We start from the raw sequence: 18,414 nt of genomic DNA, 5'->3' as shown, positions 1-18,414 counted from the left end.
CCTTGAAGTTATCCTTACCTGCTGTAAAACCAAAAACGATTGTTATAAACCATCCCTATTAATAAGGAAACTAAAATACCTACACCTAATTGTAGGTATTCATTACTTTCCACCTCCTGAAGATTCTTCATGAGTCTTTGGTTTCCTTTCCACCTGAGGGTTTATATCGACTAATAAATGCTACAACCCAACTCCCCCGCAAGGCCCTACATGCACGGTTAAAAACTCTTGCTTAAAAAAGGAAATAAGCTCTAATTAGCAAATATCCCCTGAGGGTCTATTATGTGCCAGACACTGTTTTAGGTGCTGAGGATATAACACTAACAATTCCTGTTCTCATAATTTAGGAAAAACAAGATTCAGGTAACAAACAAAACAAATACATATCAGATGTTCAGTACTATGGAGAAAAATATAGCAAGAGAAGCAGAGTGCTAGGATGGGGGAGTGTCAGGGCAGGTGAAATGTGAGCAAAGACTTGTAAGACACAAGGAAGCAACAAGCAGATATCTGGGGAATGAGCAATTCAGAGAGGGAAGAACAAGTACAAGGCTCCCAGGCAGCAACCTACCTGACATACCTGAGGCCCAGTCAGGAGGCCAGTGGGGCAGCAGCAGGATGAGTGAAGAGAGAGCAGTAGGAGGTAAGAGCAGAGAGGTCCTGGGCAGCCAGTGCAGGTAGATTAAAGGCCAGTAAATGGACTTTGGCTTTCACTCCAGGTGAAACAGACACCCTTTGGAGTGTCTAGAGCAGAGGAGTGGCCTTAGCTGATTGCCCCTTAACAGAACCACTCTGACTGCTGTGTTGAGAAGAGGCTAAAGGGACAAGGCCAAAGGGAGACTGCTAAGGCTACTACAATAATCCAGGTGAAAGATAACAGAGGCTCAGCCCAAAGTGGTAGTGGTAGAGTTGGTAAAAAGTGCTCAGACTCTTGATATATTTTGAAGGCAGAACCTGAAGGCTGTCTCAAATTATTTAATACCACAATGGCAACTATCAATTCTTTGAACACAGACTTTTAGCTCTATCAGAATTATGTGATTATCCTTCTGATGGTTAATATCTTGGCAAAAATTCTGACAGACTTTCAGATGCCATCAGATGCCAAAACAATGGTTAAGAGTTAGGCCAGGGCCCGACATGATGGCTCACACTTCTAATCCCCACACTTTGAAAGGCCGAGGCAGGAGAATCACTTGAGCACACTTCAAGACCAGCCTGGGTAACAGTGAGATCCTGTCTCATATTTTTCTAAAATTTCTATATTAAAACTTTTTTTAAAAAAAGAGTGAGGCTGGTAGTAGATCGACCAAGGTTCAAATCATTACTCCACCACTTGAGAGCTCTGTAAGTGAATGATCGTAAGCTCTGTAAGTGAGGATAATAAGAACTATTTTGTAGGGTAAAGAGTAAATAAAATAATACTGAAAGTTCTTAATACAGTCTGGTCCTCTGCATTTATAAGGGTATAAATGGGGAATCCCACAAATTAATTCAATCTAGTAATGGTGAAAATGTTAAAAAAATTCTTAAGGGATTATGAGATCTGAGATCATGCACAAGATTCCTAGGATTTCTTACCTGAAAGACGCCACCATCTGGTTATAGGAGAAATACTGGTGATAATCATGATGGATGGAGTGACCACAGGGCTCAGCGTTGGCTCTGCGAGTATACTGGTGCCCATAAAACCTAAGTTCAAGGTATTTTGCAAATGACATAGACCAGGACTCATTGGAAAGAGCAACAACTGGTGTTACCTGGAATTCAGCAAAAATAGTTTACCTAATCACATATTGAGAATCTCTTTTTCAAAAAATAACATTTTCTTTTTTTTTTTTGAGATGGAGTCTCGCTCTGTCACCCAGGCTGGAGTGCAGTGGCTCGATCTCAGCTCACTGCAAGCTCCGCCTCTCAGGTTCAGGCCATTCTCCTGCCTCAGCCTCCTGAGTAGCTGGGACTACAGGCACGCGCCACCACGCCCGGCTAATTTTTTGTATTTTTAGTAGAGACAGGGTTTCACGATGTTAGCCAGGGTGGTCTCGATCTTCTGACCTCGTGATCCACCTGCCTCAGCCTCCCAAAGTGCTGGGATTACAGGTGTGAGCCACCACACCCGGCCAACATTTTCTTTTCTAATACAAACGTAATATATACTGACTGCAGAAAACTGGGAAAAGAATGAGAAAGTTCAAAGGTGGGTGGACTTGGGGGTGGTGGAGGAGAGCAGCATTACCAATAAATCCACCAACAACATCAATATACTAGTATATGTTTATTTTTGATGTATTTATATATATATATACACACACACACATATACATATATACATACATACATGGACACACACACAGCCAGTATATTTGTAAATAAAAACTCCTATAGTTTCATAATCTTTTACTTAGCAATATATCGTGAATATTTTCCCACATAAAATATTCTTGCACAACTTTTCAAATGGCTTCAGAGTATCTGGACATGTATTGAACCAATCCTTACTGATGTGCCTTTAAGACATTACAAGTTTTTCCACACTGAGATGATGTTCTGATGAACATCCTTGTATATACATATTTACAAATATCCACAATTATTCCCGTGGGATAAATTAATAAAGGTGGGAATTGGTAAGTCAAAGGGCATAAACATTTATATGATCTTTGATAATTTTTGCCACATTATCTTCCAAAACAAGTGCACCAGTGTATACAGTCTCCAACAATATTTAAGAATATCAATTTCCCCCACTTTCTTACCCAATCCTAGGAATCAGAATTGAAATTTTTGAAATGTAACCTCCTAAAGAAAAAATTTTAAAGAGATTTTACTGATTTATGCTTACCTGACTACTAATGAATAACATTTATTTATTTGTTTAGTAGCCATTTGCATTAAATTGCATTGTCATGTCCTCTGCCCATTTTTCTATTATCATGGCTCATAGAAATTTGATATTATATATATTTATGTTTAGTCATATATGTTGTATTTTTCCTTGACACTGGAAGTTTTTCATTTTAGTGTAACAAAACTTACCTTTTCCTTTCTAGCATAAAAAAGCAGAAGTTTTTGTTTCAAAATAAAGTGCATATAGCAAAGCATGTAAGTCATAAAGATCAAATTTAAGTTATTCATTTAGTACCATGGTCAGTCTACCCAGTTAACATATTCTACAACAAACTATTACCAGCTAACTAATAGGAACTAAAGTCGGTAAGAACAATTATGAAACTAAGACTGAGAATTGCTAGAAATAATTTTATGTCTGTATGTTTGCTGCTGCAGGTGCAACTTTGATTTTGCCCTTCTCTACCACTGATTAATGTAGGTCGTGCTATTATTTTATATATAATTCCCATATGTGCCTTCCAAAAGCACACTTTGAAATAACCCAATTAAGGCCAGGCGCTGTGGCTCAGGCCTGTAATCCCAACACTTTGGGAGGCCAAGGTGGGCGATCACCCGAGGTCAGGAGTTTGAGACCAGCCTGGCTAACGTAGTGAAACCTTGTCTCTATTAAAAATACAAAAATTAGCTGGGCATAGTGGCGCATGCCTGTAGTCCCAGCTACTCCAGAGGCTGAGGCAGAGAACAGCTTGAACTCAGGAGACAGAGGTTGCAGTGAGCAGAGATCACACGACTGCACTCCAGACCGGGCGATAGAGCAAGACTCTGTCTCAAAAAAGAAAGAAAGAACCTAATTAAGGTAGTAAGTTAAATTTGGAATATTTTATCCAGATTGCAAGCAGTCTGGATAAAAATCATATATTTAAAAAAAACACAATATTGGCACCAAATTTTTGCCCCAGAGTTAGAAAAGTAAAGAAAGGCACAAAGAAGAAACAAAACACATGTCCTTTTCTCAAGAACATGCATAAAAACCAATAGAGATCAATTTCAACATGGTCTCATCTGTATGTGAATAGAAATGCTCACATAGGCTCGAATTTATTATACAAATATCCTAATATACTGCAGTTATTGCTTTACAAGTCTGTCTCCTCCCCTAGAGAACAGAAGTCATTCCTTATTCTTTTTTTCATTCCTAGGGCCTAGCACAGTATCTGGCACATAAATGGTGCTAAATGTTTGTTGAATGAATAAACAAAATTGAGATATGTCATGATACAACCTCAAGATACTTTACTGTATAGGGCACTTGTATTTTATTTAATGACTGATACATTCCTAAGATGGGATCTTCAAAAAACGAATACTAGATTGAACATACAGCACTGGAAGGTAAAATAACAATGACAAATAGAGCTCTATAACAAATAACGAATCCAGTACCATATAGGAAACCTCCTCAGGAAAAAAAAAAAACATACAAATAAAGAAATAAATGGCAAACAAAATATAGTAATAGGGTCTATTTACCTGTTTGCAGATTCTACACCAGGAATATGTAAGAATTGTATGCTGATATCCAGGTACTGGAGAATCCAACTCCTTCAGGATTATCTGCACACAGCCTTGGCCATGAACAAAGCGCCGAATATGATGTACCATGGGGGTATCACAGAACATGCTTGGACACTGATAAGAAGGCCTTTGACAAACAAAAGAGCCCTTCTCACATTAAGCATGAAACAGAAATCAGAACCACTGTCAAAGTGCAGCATGACTAGTGAACAATCTGCACAAGGTACTCATGCTGCTCTGAGCCTGCAGCTGAACATCGTCTTCAGCTACAGCACGGTGATAGTTTCCATTTGTTAAGCACCTTCTATTTGCCAAACAATTTTAAAACATTTCCTTTTACCTTCTGATAATTCTAGGGATTGTTATTCCCTATAAAGGGGACTAGTAAAGTGCTTTGTCATATAAGTGGCGAGTGATGATGCTAAGACTTAAACTGAGGTCTAGATGATTCCAACATTTTACCTCTCATTTGAATCACTGTAAAAAAACAGGTATCCGAAAAATGTTGATGGTAGGGTAATTAGATGGGCAGAGATATGAGGGATGTTCTGGATAAGAGATCTCAGTTTAAATATGAAATAGATTATTACTTCTTTGAATGATATACTCTGATATGCACTATGAAAGTGAGGATCATGTAACAGTCACTTAACATCCGACTCATGTTTACGTTTTAGCTTGAAATTTTGAGCATCAAAAATGTGTAATGGAACAGAAGGAAGAAATATGTTCTTACCTGAAACAGTATCTCTCTAAAAATATTCCTAATGTAAGATCATTCTTTCCATAAAATTCCATTGTTACAATCCTAAAGAAGAGACCACCTCTTAGAAACATAAGAATTACCATGCCCCAGAGACATTTCATGAGACCACAAATTATGATTACCTATTAAATGTATGGTACTTACAATGAAGTATGAAAGGAGGTAATGTTCTTTGTTGTTATGAAACAGGTTTTAATAAAACAAGTTTAGACTTGCCACACTAAAGCATCTTTTTCACTCCCAATCCACTAGTGTCTTATGAAACTAATGAGGATGCATAAACTATAATATTAATTTAGTAAAACTGATCTGAGTTAAGAAGAGGTAAAGGTTTCCTTTACAAAGGCTTAAGCCCTGTCAGCACAAGGTGGGACTCTGGTCTCCTACTCTCTTGTCCATGCCTTTACTGAGCATGGAAAACAGCAGTTCTTGCTAAAGTGCCAGTTTCTAACTTTTTATCTAACCTATAAATGCTCACAAGACAGTTTGGCTATATAACTGTTGAAATCCACATCTTATTCAAGCCTTGACCTATATATAAACTCCCAGAGATAATTCCCATGGGTTCTGCCACTCCCAAGTCTTCCTGCTGAAGCTATACTACTAGAAGAACCCATGAGCTCACTGCTGGAAATAAGTGTTTCAGTTATCCAAAATTAAAACACAGAATATGTTCTGGCATGGAGACAGTGCCCCCAAACAAGAAGTTATGTTCCATAGTACTTTTAAAACTAAAGGTGAACATGTAATGTAAGGCTATGTATGTCTGTGTGAGGTTTTTGTGACAATAATTTGAAAAAAATAATTTAAAACATAAAATGTATTTCAGTTTCTATCAATCTACTTAAGTTTTAGACTAAAACCCATTAATAAAGCAAAAGGTTGACTGCTTTTATAAAAATTATGCCTGAAGGAAAACCTGCCTAAATTGTACATGCTATCATCAAAATGCTTATAAACAAGCTTTTTGTGTGTCAACTTTCTCACATTTTTAAGTACAGGTTGGGCATCCCTAATCTGAAAATCCAAAATCCAAAATGCTCCAAAATCTGAAACTTTTGAGTCCTGATATGGTACCACAAGAGGGAAATTCCACAACTGAAACCTTTGCTTTCTGGTGGTTCAATGTATACAAACTTTGTTTTATACATAAAATTATTACAAATCTTATATAAAATTAACTTCAGGCTACGTGTACAAGGTGTATATGAAACACAAATGAATTTCATGTTTAGACTTGGGTCCCATCCCCAAGATAACTCATTAAGTATATGCAAGTATTTCCAAATTTGAAAAAATATTAAATCCAAAACACTTCTGGTCCCAAGCATTTCAGATAAGGGAAAGTCAACCAATACAAATTCCTCTTCTATCCCTCACACTTTTTTCACTCTTAATATACTCTCATTTACTTCTACTCATGAACAAACATGTATTTTCATATTTACTTCACAAGTTTAAAAGTTCTATCAATTCATATATGACCAGCAGTGTGCTGTGTACCTAAATACAGGTCCTAATGACTGTTTTTTTGTTTTTGTTTTTTTTTAATTGCTGGAATTCTGTTCTTATGTGGAATAGTGTAGGGGGAAAAGAATCCTACCAAGGACTGACACAGGCACTAGGAGCATTGCTGGACTGGGCAGAAGAGCTGCTGAAGAGCACACAAAGTCTCTGGTGATTAATGGGATTCAGACAGTCCACCTGAAATAGAAGGAATGAATGGATGAGCAAGTGACTGCAACCGCATTCAACCCCAATGCACCAAACACACTCCACTCTATTTGTAAAGCCTCCAATTATCACTGTGGGGGCTCTGGTCAAGATTTAAAACTACAGAAAACTAAATATAAGGAAGGGCAGTTGGTTTTTGAGAAAAGACAACCCAAAAAGTTTCAATTAAACTTAAAAATACAAAACAATGTCTAGATAGCTTGTTTTCTTAACTTACTCTTTATTTTACACAACTGCACTAAATTATTTTGGAAAAAAATTAATTAAATATACCCATATTTAACAGTCTGAACTGATGGGATATAACATCAATCTGAGACACCCAGAAATCTAAATTCTAAAGTGTTTATTTATCTATGCTTATGGCTGTTTTTGATCATTACAAAGGTAAAACCAGCTCTCTGTTAAAATTGAAACAGTATAGAAGCATATGAAGAAGTTCATAAAATACACAAAACTGCTCCTCCTGATTCTACTCCACCTCCTAAGCTGCGGAGTTTGACTCTGTGGTTTTAAAATATCTATTCTTTTTGCTAGTTTACATACCTGTCCCACATACACACATCACTTCCTAAGTACAAACAGGGGGTTTTGTTTTTATAAATATGGAATAATGCAACACATATTAAAACATAATTTGCTTTTTAACACTTCAAATATATCATGGGCTTTATCCAAGTCATTAAATGACTTGAGATCCTGCTCATCCTTAAACTGTTTCAATAAACATCTTTGTACATATATTCTTAAAAAATGCAAGCACCCTTATATAAGCATACTTAATTATTTCTGCAGGATAGATTATAAAAAGTTGGAGTCCTGGGTCAAAGGTATATACATGTATGTGTAAATTAATGGAGACTTTCCTATCACTTTCTATAAATTTATACAAATGTACATATACCTACATTTGTATAAACTTACATAAAATTTATGAAAGGTGTTTTTCCATGCCATCATTAACCATGGGTCTTTTACGACTTTCCTTTTTGTCAATCTGACAAATAAAAAATTATTTAGCACCACTATTATTTAGCACTTCCTTGACTACTAGTGAAATTGAACATACATTATTTAGCACTTCCTTGACTACTGGCGAAATTGGACATCTTCTCGTTTTATTAAACAATTGCATTTCCTCATCTAGCAATGGATTTGTTAATTAGTTTTATTGCTACCATTATCAATAATGGATCTATAAACCTTCCTTAATTTGCTCTCAATTTATGCCTAAAAAGAAAAAGATCACTGTCATAGTTAAATAACAAGGTAAAATGTTTTATGTTAAAAAAAGAGCTAACTTTTTTTGAGAAAACAAATATATTTGCTGCTAACTTTTTTAAAAAAACACATCTATTTCCTACAATAAGCTTCCATCTCTCACTCCCTGACACAAGGATCCAGGATTATCATACCACATCCAAGTCATGTTGTCAGAAATTTTAAGCAGCTCCACATTTCCCCTTACTTCAGGGATCTTCCTAGCTTATTATAAGCTCACCTTAAAACCCTGAAACCCAGTTTCATTACAATTCTGCTTCATACATATTAAAGTAACACATAAGCCAGCAGACTCAAGACAAAAACAAAAATAGCATAGGAGAAGAAATATTTCACAAATCTGCATGCAGTCTGCCAAACTGATTTTTTTAGCCTGCCTTTGAGGAGTCATTCAACACATCCTAAATGCACAGGAGCATCAGAAAGTGGTCTGGCTCACCTTTGTTGACCACACAGCATCACTCAGAATAAGCCCTCTCTCTTCATCACCCTCATTTTTGCTTCCTGATTGGCCACTTGAAGTACTTGATGCATCCTTTGAATGAGCAAAAGGGTCTGAATTTTTGGGCTGAATTCTTCCTCCTCTGGCTCGATAATCGGCCAGCATTCTACCCAAGCTCTGGCTATCGCCCAGATGCTCAGCAATTCTAGTGCTCACTAGCTCATGTGAGGGTAAGACTTGAATAGACTTGGCCTGAATACTTCCATTCATGCCCTGAAGTCCAGAGAGATCCCTGAGCAGCTGTTTCTTCCTCCTGTTCTCCATTTCTTTGAATTCTTTATTGAGGAGAGGAGACCAGTAAACCTGCTCTGCAAAATAATCTCGGGTAGAGCATCTCATCCCCTTTTCAGTTAAAAGAAAGGGTTCTCGGAATGTGATTACTGGGGAGATACAGAGGATCACATCTTTTAATTCCTGCTTAAAGGCCAAAGAATAAGTCTTTCGTTTATCTTCAGAGGAGGTGACTTCCTCAGTAACATATAATCCAGTGTCATCCTGTAGAGGGTCTCTAAAGGCTCTTATCTGGCTTTTGGGATCCTGCAGCACAACTGTTTGCTGCAAAGTCTCTGGCTGCTCGCTGCCTAAAGCATCTTGTTGGTCATCCACAGGGAGTGGCAACAATGATTCCGGTACAGGTGCAAAGAAAGCACAAGGGAGACCCGCCGGGCAAGCTGTTGTGCTATGTTCTTGATGCTTCACAGAGGCAACAGCCTGCGGAAGATTTTTATTTTCCTGCTCACCCTTCTCAAACACAATCCTCAATTCCAGCAAACTGCTATCATCACAGGGCAGAGACTCAGGAGGGATGTCAGGATCCCAGGGGATGGAACCTCCACCGTACTGCTCTTGGACAGCCCCCTCATGCCCTCGTCCCTCAATCAGGGAATGGAATGAAGGGTTTTGCATTAATGTGGGAGGCATAGCAAATTCATCCATGAGAAAGGATATTTCTAGTTGAGAATGATAAGCAACACAGATCATAAATATTAGGATCTCCTTAACTCGAGCCAGCTCATAATCAGAGCCTCCTCTTAGCTTGATTGTACAGCCTAGGTGCTGTGGACAACCTTCAAAAAACATCAGTGTCTTGGTTTGTTCTACAAACAAAAACAAACAGAAAGTTAAGATGGTGGAGGTGGCAATCCAGAAGTACAAATAGAATTAATTCACTCTCTTAATATCTGTAAAAGAAAAACTCTTACATGAATAAGATCACAGTTGCCTATCCTCACTTACCCACTATTAATAGGTATTTCCTAGTAAGTAAACATTGTAGTAGTGATAAGTTAACTCTTTTCCTCAGGTCAATCTATGCTAAAGATCACTCACCATTAGGCAACTGAAATATCTGCATATAAAATTTGTGACAAGTGCCCAGGTGTGGTTTCGTAAGCAGCTGGTCCATTGACATCACTAAATCACCTTGGGTCATTCGACTGATTCGTTCCAAAACTTGCTACAAAACAGAAAAACATTGTATTACAAAACTAGAGAAGAATAAAAATCTTTGTAAATTTAATCTGGAAAAGTAATGGAAAAATTAAAAAATAACATTCACAAATTTCCTTTTTAATAAATATATGATGAATTTTTTTATTCTGGATTCTTCTACACTTAGTTGCTTAGTAATCAATATATGCCCACTGAAACCTTACTCATATTAATAACATTATAAAAATGCACTTAAGCATCATGGATTACCACAAGATAATGTGGGGAGAAAAACAACTTCCTAGAATTGGCCCCTGTTCTGCACAGGGTAAACTTTTCAAGGGAGAGAACGTCTTCTGCTTGAGCAATTCTCCAACAAAAATGAAGGATCAACAAATACCTAGTGATTAACTAATGTCCATTTCACTTTTGGTCTTGTAGACACCAATAAGTATTACATAATCAATTATACTTTCTTCCAGTTCCAGTCTGAAATTCTGAATCTTAATGAAATAGGTGCCATATCTTCTGTCCCACTTTCAATACAAATAGAACAGCAAAGAAAAAAAGATTCTTGTATACCTACCATACGTGCATATAAATTTAAAAGCTGTGATTTTTTTAAAATACAATAGAAAATTAAAAACACTCACTGACTTTACATTAATGACCAAAGTAATGCCATGTTCCAATAACATGTCCTGGGCAATCCGAGACACTGTTTTCTCAACAAGAACCAAGGTGGGTCGAACATCAACTATTCGCTGGACATAATTCTTCAAGAATTCCCTTTCCTAAGTAAGATAAATCAGAAATATTACACCTGGTAAAATGCAGTATCTGGACATATTAAAATATCATCAGAGTGAACAGGCAACCTACAGAATGGGAGAAAATTTTTGCAATCTACTCATCTGACAAAGGGCTAATATCCAGAATCTACAAAAAACTCAAACAAATTTACAAGAAAAAAACAAACAACCCCATCAAAAAGTGGGCGAAGCACATGAACAGACACTTCTCAAAAGAAGACATTTATGCACCCAACAGACACATGAAAAAATGCTCATCATCACTGGCCATCAGAGAAATGCAAATCAAAACCACAATGAGATACCATCTCACACCAGATAGAATGGCAATCATTAAAAAGTCAGGAAACAACATGTGCTGGAGAGGATGTGGAGAAATAGGAACACTTTTACACTGTTGGTGGGACTGTAAACTAGTTCAACATTGTGGAAGACAGTGTGGTGATTCCTCAGGGATCTAGAACTAGAAATACCATTTGACCCAGCCATCCCATTACTGGGTATATACCCAAAGGATTATAAATCATGCTGCTATAAAGACACATGCACAAGTATGTTTATTGCGGCACTATTCACAATAGCAAAGACTTGGAACCAACCCAAATGTCCAACAATGATAGACTGGATTAAGAAAATGTGGCACATACACACCATGGAATACTCTGCAGCCAGAGAAAAGGATGAGTTCATGTCCTTTGTAGGGACGTGGATGAAATTGTAAATCATCATTCTCAGTAAACTATCGCAAGGACAAAAAACCAAACACCACATGTTCTCACTCATACATGGGAATTGAACAATGAGAACACATGGACACAGGAAGGGGAACATCACACTCTGGGGACTGTTGTGGGGTGGGGGGAGGGGGGAGGAATAGCATTAGGAGATATACCTAATGCTAAATGACGAGTTAATGGGTACAGCACACCAGCACGGCACATGTATACATATGTAACTAACCTGCACATTGTGCACATGTACCCTAAAACTTAAAGTATACTACTACTAATAATAATAAAATAAAAAATAAAATAAAAATAAAAAAGAAAATGTGGCACATACACACCATGGAATACTCTGCAGCCATAAAAAAGGATGAGTTCATGTCCTTTGTAGGGACATGGATGAAGCTGGAAACCAACATTCTCAGCAAACTATCACAAGGACAAAAAACCAAACACCGCATGTTCTCACTCATAGGTGGGAATTCAACATTGAGAACACCTGGACACAGGAAGGGGAACATCATACACGGGGGCCTGTCATGGGGTGGGGGAGGGGGGAGGGATAGCATTAGGAGATATACCTAATGTAAATGACAAGTTAATGGGTGCAACACATGAACATGGCATATGTATACATATGTAACAAACCTGCACATTGTGCACATGTACCCTAGAACTTAAAGTGTAATAAAAAAAATATATATATATATATCAAGATAGCTTGACTATTATCAATCTTAGACTAAATTTTCTTCATCCACAAATAAGTCTGTAAGCAAATTAATGCAAACACAGTAAGAATCTCATTCATCATTCTAAACTTGATTATGCTGACAAGAGTTTCAGGAGAAATTCCATTCTCCAACTAACTTTCCTTGAAAGATTTTCAATTCTTAATTTAAAAGCCAAGAATCCAATTAGCTAGTTCAGAGGTTAAAAAAAAACAAGAACAACAAAAAAACCTAACCTCACAACTCCCAAAATAAAAGCAATTTCTAAGTTTTTTTTTTTTTTTTTTTTTTTTAAGAGACAGGGTCTCATTCTGTTACCCAGGCTGGAGTGCAGAGGTGCCGTCATAGCTCACTGTGACCTCAAAGTCCTGGGCTCAAGCAATCCTCCTGCTTCACCCTTCTAGGACTACAGGCACACATCACCATGCCTGCCTAATTTTTTCTATTTTTTGTAGGAACAGAGTCTCACTATGTTACCCAGGCTGGTCTTGAACTCCTGGCCTCAAGCAATCCTCCTGCCTTCAGCTCCAAAAGTGTAATCACAAGTGTCAGCCACTATGCCCATCCCTAAGTTGTTTTAGTATGGTTATGAATTCTCTCCTCTACATTCTGAAACCAACATGAGTTATCCCTTTTTCTGGATCTCTGAATAAATAACTCTAACAGATGCTATTTCAGCTACTTCCTAATTCCAATTTCCCAACAGATCATATAATACCTAGAACAGCTACAGTTAAAGATCTCAAACATAATGCTAATAGAATTTTATCACAAAGGCTTAATTTCAAAAGAAATGAATATTGTGGCTCACGCCTGTAATCCCAGCATTTTGGGACGCCTCGGGCGGATCACCTGACATCTGGAGCTCAAGACCAGCCTGGCCAACATGATGAAACCCCGTCTCTACTAAAAAAATACAAAAATTAGCCAGGCATGGTGGCAGGCACCTGTAATCCCAGCTACTCGAGAGGCTGAGGCAGGAGAATAGCTTGAACCTGGGAGGCAGGGGTTTCAGTGAGCCAAGATTGCACCATTGCGCTCCAGCCTGGGGGACAAGAGCGAGACTTCGTCTCAAAAAAAAAAAAAAAAAAACAAAAGAAAAGAAAAAGAAAAAAGAAGTATTTCCCTTTATTTCTTTAGAGTTCTCTACTAAAATGTCTAGTCAAAACCCATCATTTTTACTGATAGCACAGCTGAATTCCAAAGAGAAAACAGCCCCAGGTCACAGAGTTCTTAAGTAATAACAGCAGAGTTTTATAAAGCACTGTTTCTTTTACTACAACTCATTTTCTCTTATTGTTATCTAGGAAATCAGTACAAAAGTGATTGCTCCTACCACTCTTGAAAAAAATGTATTTACCTAGGAATTTTCAAGTAATGCTTTTCCTAAATGTTTCTGGAACCCAGCATAAGTGTTTCCACTATAATATAATATACACATTCCCTAAAAGCTTCCACTTTGAATGACCACAAAGTAAAATTAACAGTATTTATGGGAGAAAAGGAGTTGGAGCAGAAAACTTAAAACCTATGCAACTTTATACCTTCAGCACTAATAAAAATAATAATTGGTACCTTAAGAGGAATCATGGAGAGCCCAGGCAGAGAGCTTCATATGGCATGAGGCTGCCTCAAGTAAAATTAAATGCACAAAAACTATTGCAACGCTACAACTAGAAATGGAGCTCTGAGCAGCAAAGCTACCAAGAACCACACAGAGATGCGGGTGTGCCTCCCTGGGGAGAGAGCCCTGCAAGCAAAAGCTCACTTTTACTTTCTTAAAATAGAGCTGGAAGGGTTTCTGCCTGTGTAGCAGCTGAGCTGAGACTGTTTTCCTTTCCAGCTGAGGGTTATAACCTAATGCAGCTATTCTGGGCCTCCTTGCTTAGGAAAAACCACTGAGAAACCAACACAACTTTCATCTGACATTATTCTGTTTGCCAACTACATATAAGCTAATTGATGTTCTAGAAATATGTTTTAGTAGCATAGACTGTATTACAAACCAGAGATTCCATTAGAAATCTGGTAAGTTCGAGAAATTCCCACAGTAAATCAGTGGATTAAGTGGGAAAGGGAAATTAGTATTTGGATTTTCACTTTTTCTTCCTTATATCCTTGAACAGTCACATGTTACCTTTAATACTATGAAACTTTAAAAATAATGAGTGACAGAGGTTTTGGTAAGCTATCAAGTTTGCCTATCCAATTTAATTAGCTAGAATTAAGTCAAAATCATTAAGAGTTTATAAGCATCATGGTACACAAACATCCCTCTAAATTATTATTTTCAGTAGTAAATTCTTACCTGAAGCACAATAGGATCAATGCAAGTAAACTTAGTTTCTTCTCTGTAGAGATACTCAATGGAACACTTCAACAGAAGAATTTTGGGGTTTTTAATACAAGAACTCATCTACAAAAAATGAACAGTTTGTTAAAGTGTTTAAAGGTTTGCATTTTACAGCCCTCCTTTAATTATAACTTTAAATCTATATTGTTCATAATTCCTACTAACTTAATGTATCTCATATTAGTATTAATATATTCTCATTTAGTTCTTTTACGGTATTAAATTTTTTCAAAGCAAATAATATGTTCAGAACAATGCAAAATTCTTCAAAAAATGGCTTTTCTTTCTTAATACTACTTTGATCTTCTATACTCTTTAACTTTTTTTTTTATTTCTGATGTTGTAAGAAGAGACATCATGCCCTGAGTGTGCACGGAGGGAGCAGTATTTAATGACAGGTTACTTCACAAACTCCAAGAAATAAGCAACTTTAAAAGCATATTTTAGTCTGTCTAAAATTGAAGAGGAGAAGAGGGAGAAAAGAATTAAAATGCCTCCTGAACATATTGCTAATAGAATAAATTTCCAAACAATCATTAAGGTGGCAAGCTGAAATAGGAAACATGAAGTTCAAAAAGAAAATCTGAAAGCATCTCAAGAAGCAGAGACCCAAATAATATACCCTAATCGTGTGCTTAAAGCCACAGGCAGAATAGCAATTGAGGTTTCAGGCTGACCAAGTTTATGGACCCCAAACTGGCAAACAGTTCCGAAAACAGTGACTCACCAGCTGGGAAACTCAATTCAGGACTCTTTTTAGCAACTACAAATCAAGGACTATCTCTAATCAGTGGGGCAAGACAGTCATTCATGCATATGTTTCCACCACACCCACATACAAATTTTCCTCACTTTCTGAGAAGGCACAACATATTTACCTCTTAATTCAACAAATATCATTTAATTTGGTTTAAAGTTCTCCTTTAAAGGGTAATGTGTGGTTTTAGTAAGACTCTGTGTAGAAATATTGACTGATGTCGAATTATTGCAATAAAATACGCGATAAGTACAAAACTCAAGCCAAGTATATTTTTATTTATCTATGGTCACTAATAATTTTCAGGAATCTTAATGCCTTAGAAAAAACTATATTAAGCTCAACTTAGAAAAAAAGTGAAAACAAGACTAGAGTTCATCCATCTGGTTGCTCAGGCTAGAAATCTGCCTCAGCTCTTGCTGTAACAAAATCAGTATCCCCAGAAGTGGGGCCAGGGTATCTCTGTTTTGAATGTTTCCGCTGGTGATTCTGAAGCACAGCAAGGTTTGAGAACACTACTATAGATAAATGGTATCTCAAAATGCAAGGACCAACAAATGACACTGGAAACACCTGAAGTGCCTACTTTTTTTTTTTTTTTTTTTTTGAGACGGAGTCTCGCTCTGTTGCCCAGACTGCACTGCAGTGGCGTGATCTCAGCTCACTGCAACCTTCGCCTCCAAGGTTCAAGAGATTCTTCTGCCTCAGCCTCCCGAGTAGCTGAGACTACAGGCACACGCCACCACGCCGGCTAACTTTTGTATTTTTAGTACAGATGTGGTTTCACCATATGGCCAGGCTGCTCTCAAAATCCTGACATCGTGATCTGCCAGCCTCGGCCTCCCAAAGTGCTGGTATTACACACTCAGCCTAGTGCCTACTTTAAATACAGTACCACCATTTCCCTAACATCCATACACTCCCATTGCCCTTAACCTACTGAATGAGAATTTCTAGGGGTTAGGTTAAGAACAGACATTTTTAAAAGGTCCACATGTGATCTCAATGTATGTACACTACACTGAGAATCAAAAGATTTCAGAATAAAGTTCAAGACCTTTAATGACATACAAAGCCCTTGCCTGCTTCCTCCAGCTTCATCTACATTGCCCATATTACACCTTAGGAACTCAGAGTCTCCTTAATACCCCAGGTTATCTCACTCCACTCCTTTGTGCTAGTGCTACAAAGATATAAGGTGAGAAGGATAACAGAAGAAGACTGACAGTTCTGTAGCCGAGCACTAGAAGAGCTATCAGTTTTAGAATGCTAAGCCTCTGGAAGGACTCCAGCCTACTAGAGAAACCCTGTCTCCCTAAGACGTAACAGGATCAGGAGATAAATAATGCCAGTATCTTATCATTCTGTTAATCTAGAAGCCTGATCCTCTCCCCTTCCTCCTTCTGTCTGGTGAATTCCCATTATTCAAATTCCAATCCATTCATCCTCAGCTCTGGGAAATCTTCCCTGAACCAACCAAATTTCACCCCTATGGCAGACACAGCTGCCTTTCATTGTCCATTGTCCATTTCTTCCATAACTAAGGTGCCCCAACTTGTTACCTAAGCACACAGCCATGGTTTGCTGAACTTCACTGCTGAACTGAATCACATTACCTTTTTATGTGCAATGTTCTTGGTACAAACAAAGCCATTGACAACCACAGAATCAAACTTCTTTCCACCTGGGATCTAATGGAACAATTAAGAAAACAATAAAATTCAATGATAACATGCTTAGAATCTAGTTAGATGTACGCTATTATTTCTTTCCATTTTTTTTAAACTATTATGTAATCAAATAAGAACAAAAAATTTCAGGAAATAATACTTCCTTTCAACCAACGATCAATGGCATCTCTGCATGACTCTGTTTTCCCATCCCCTGTTCTCTAATGTACTACCCTAGGACTCTAAAGTACTCACTGACTGAATAAACTAGTGCCATGTGGCAGTTAACACTATTGTTTAAGTTAAATATCATAGGGAAAAAGCACACACAGGACTCCATTACTATCTAAATCAGGGGTGTCCAATCTTTTGACTTCCCTGGGCCTCACTGGAAGAAGAATTGTATTGGGCCACACATAAAATCCACTAATAACAGCTGATGAGCTTAAAAAAAAAATCGCATTGTGGTTTTGATTTGCATTTCTCTGATGGCCAGTGATGATGAGCATTTTTTCATGTGTCTTTTGGCTGCATAAATGTCTTCTTTTGAGAAGTGTCTGTTCATATCCTTTGCCCACTTTTTGATGGGGTTGTTTTTTTCTTGTAAATTTGTTTGAGTTCATTGTAGATTGTGGATATTAGCCCTTTGTCAGATGAGTAGGTTGCGAAAATTTTCTCCCATTTTGTAGGTTGCCTGTTCACTCTGATGGTAGTTTCTTTTGCTGTGCAGAAGCTCTTTAGTTTAATTAGATCCCATTTGTCAATTTTGGCTTTTGTTGCCGTTGCTTTTGGTGTTTTAGACATGAAGTCCTTGCCCATGCCTATGTCCTGAATGGTAATGCCTACGTTTTCTTCTAGGGTTTTTATGGTTTTAGGTCTAACGTTTAAGTCTTTAATCCATCTTGAATTAATTTTTGTATAAGATGTAAGGAAGGAATCCAGTTTCAGCTTTCTACATATGGTTAGGCAGTTTTCCCAGCACCATTTATTAAATAGGGAATCCTTTCCCCATTGCTTGTTTTTCTCAGGTTTGTCAAAGATCGGATAGTTGTAGATATGCAGTGTTATTTCTGAGGGTTCTGTTCTGTTCCATTGATCTATATCTCTATTTTGGTACCAGTACCACGCTGTTTTGGTTACTGTAGCCTTGTAGTATAGTTTGAAGTCAGGTAGCGTGATGCCTCCAGCTTTGTTCTTTTGGCTTAGGATTGACTTGGCGATGCGGGC

General features: G+C 37.5%; 1 protein-coding gene across 39 annotated transcripts in view, besides 1 other annotated feature; it reads right to left on the bottom strand.

Annotated features, from left to right (window-relative positions):
• The window catches only part of PIKFYVE (phosphoinositide kinase, FYVE-type zinc finger containing), a 92,691-nt gene that overhangs the window by 23,672 nt on the left and 50,605 nt on the right, over nucleotides 1-18,414 (bottom strand). For 38 of the 39 annotated variants that reach the window (XR_007070607.1, XM_011510779.3, XM_047443667.1 and 35 more), the window contains 9 exons: nucleotides 17,134-17,208; nucleotides 14,716-14,823; nucleotides 10,793-10,933; nucleotides 10,038-10,164; nucleotides 8,646-9,805; nucleotides 6,795-6,895; nucleotides 5,162-5,233; nucleotides 4,381-4,552; nucleotides 1,582-1,760 (listed from right to left, as the gene is read on the bottom strand). Coding sequence is in view for 38 of the 39 variants with exons in the window: in XM_011510779.3 (XP_011509081.1) it covers nucleotides 1,582-1,760; nucleotides 4,381-4,552; nucleotides 5,162-5,233; nucleotides 6,795-6,895; nucleotides 8,646-9,805; nucleotides 10,038-10,164; nucleotides 10,793-10,933; nucleotides 14,716-14,823; nucleotides 17,134-17,208 (2,135 nt within the window). In the remaining variant the exon portion in view is untranslated. The remainder of the gene's footprint in view (nucleotides 1-1,581; nucleotides 1,761-4,380; nucleotides 4,553-5,161; nucleotides 5,234-6,794; nucleotides 6,896-8,645; nucleotides 9,806-10,037; nucleotides 10,165-10,792; nucleotides 10,934-14,715; nucleotides 14,824-17,133; nucleotides 17,209-18,414) is intronic. The other variant, XM_011510792.4, reaches the window with a different exon arrangement.
• Nucleotides 14,030-14,149: an enhancer, noted in NCBI's record as "active region_17052". NCBI's record gives its function as "activates an Ori minimal core promoter by ATAC-STARR-seq in GM12878 lymphoblastoid cells {active_cell/tissue: GM12878}" and the evidence as "EXISTENCE:reporter gene assay evidence [ECO:0000049][PMID:35858748]".

Source organism: Homo sapiens, chromosome 2 (assembly GCF_000001405.40).
Source record: "Homo sapiens chromosome 2, GRCh38.p14 Primary Assembly".
Lineage (NCBI taxonomy): Eukaryota > Metazoa > Chordata > Mammalia > Primates > Hominidae > Homo > Homo sapiens.
Note: the sequence above shows the minus strand (reverse complement) of the source record. Positions and strands in the feature narration are given on the sequence as shown.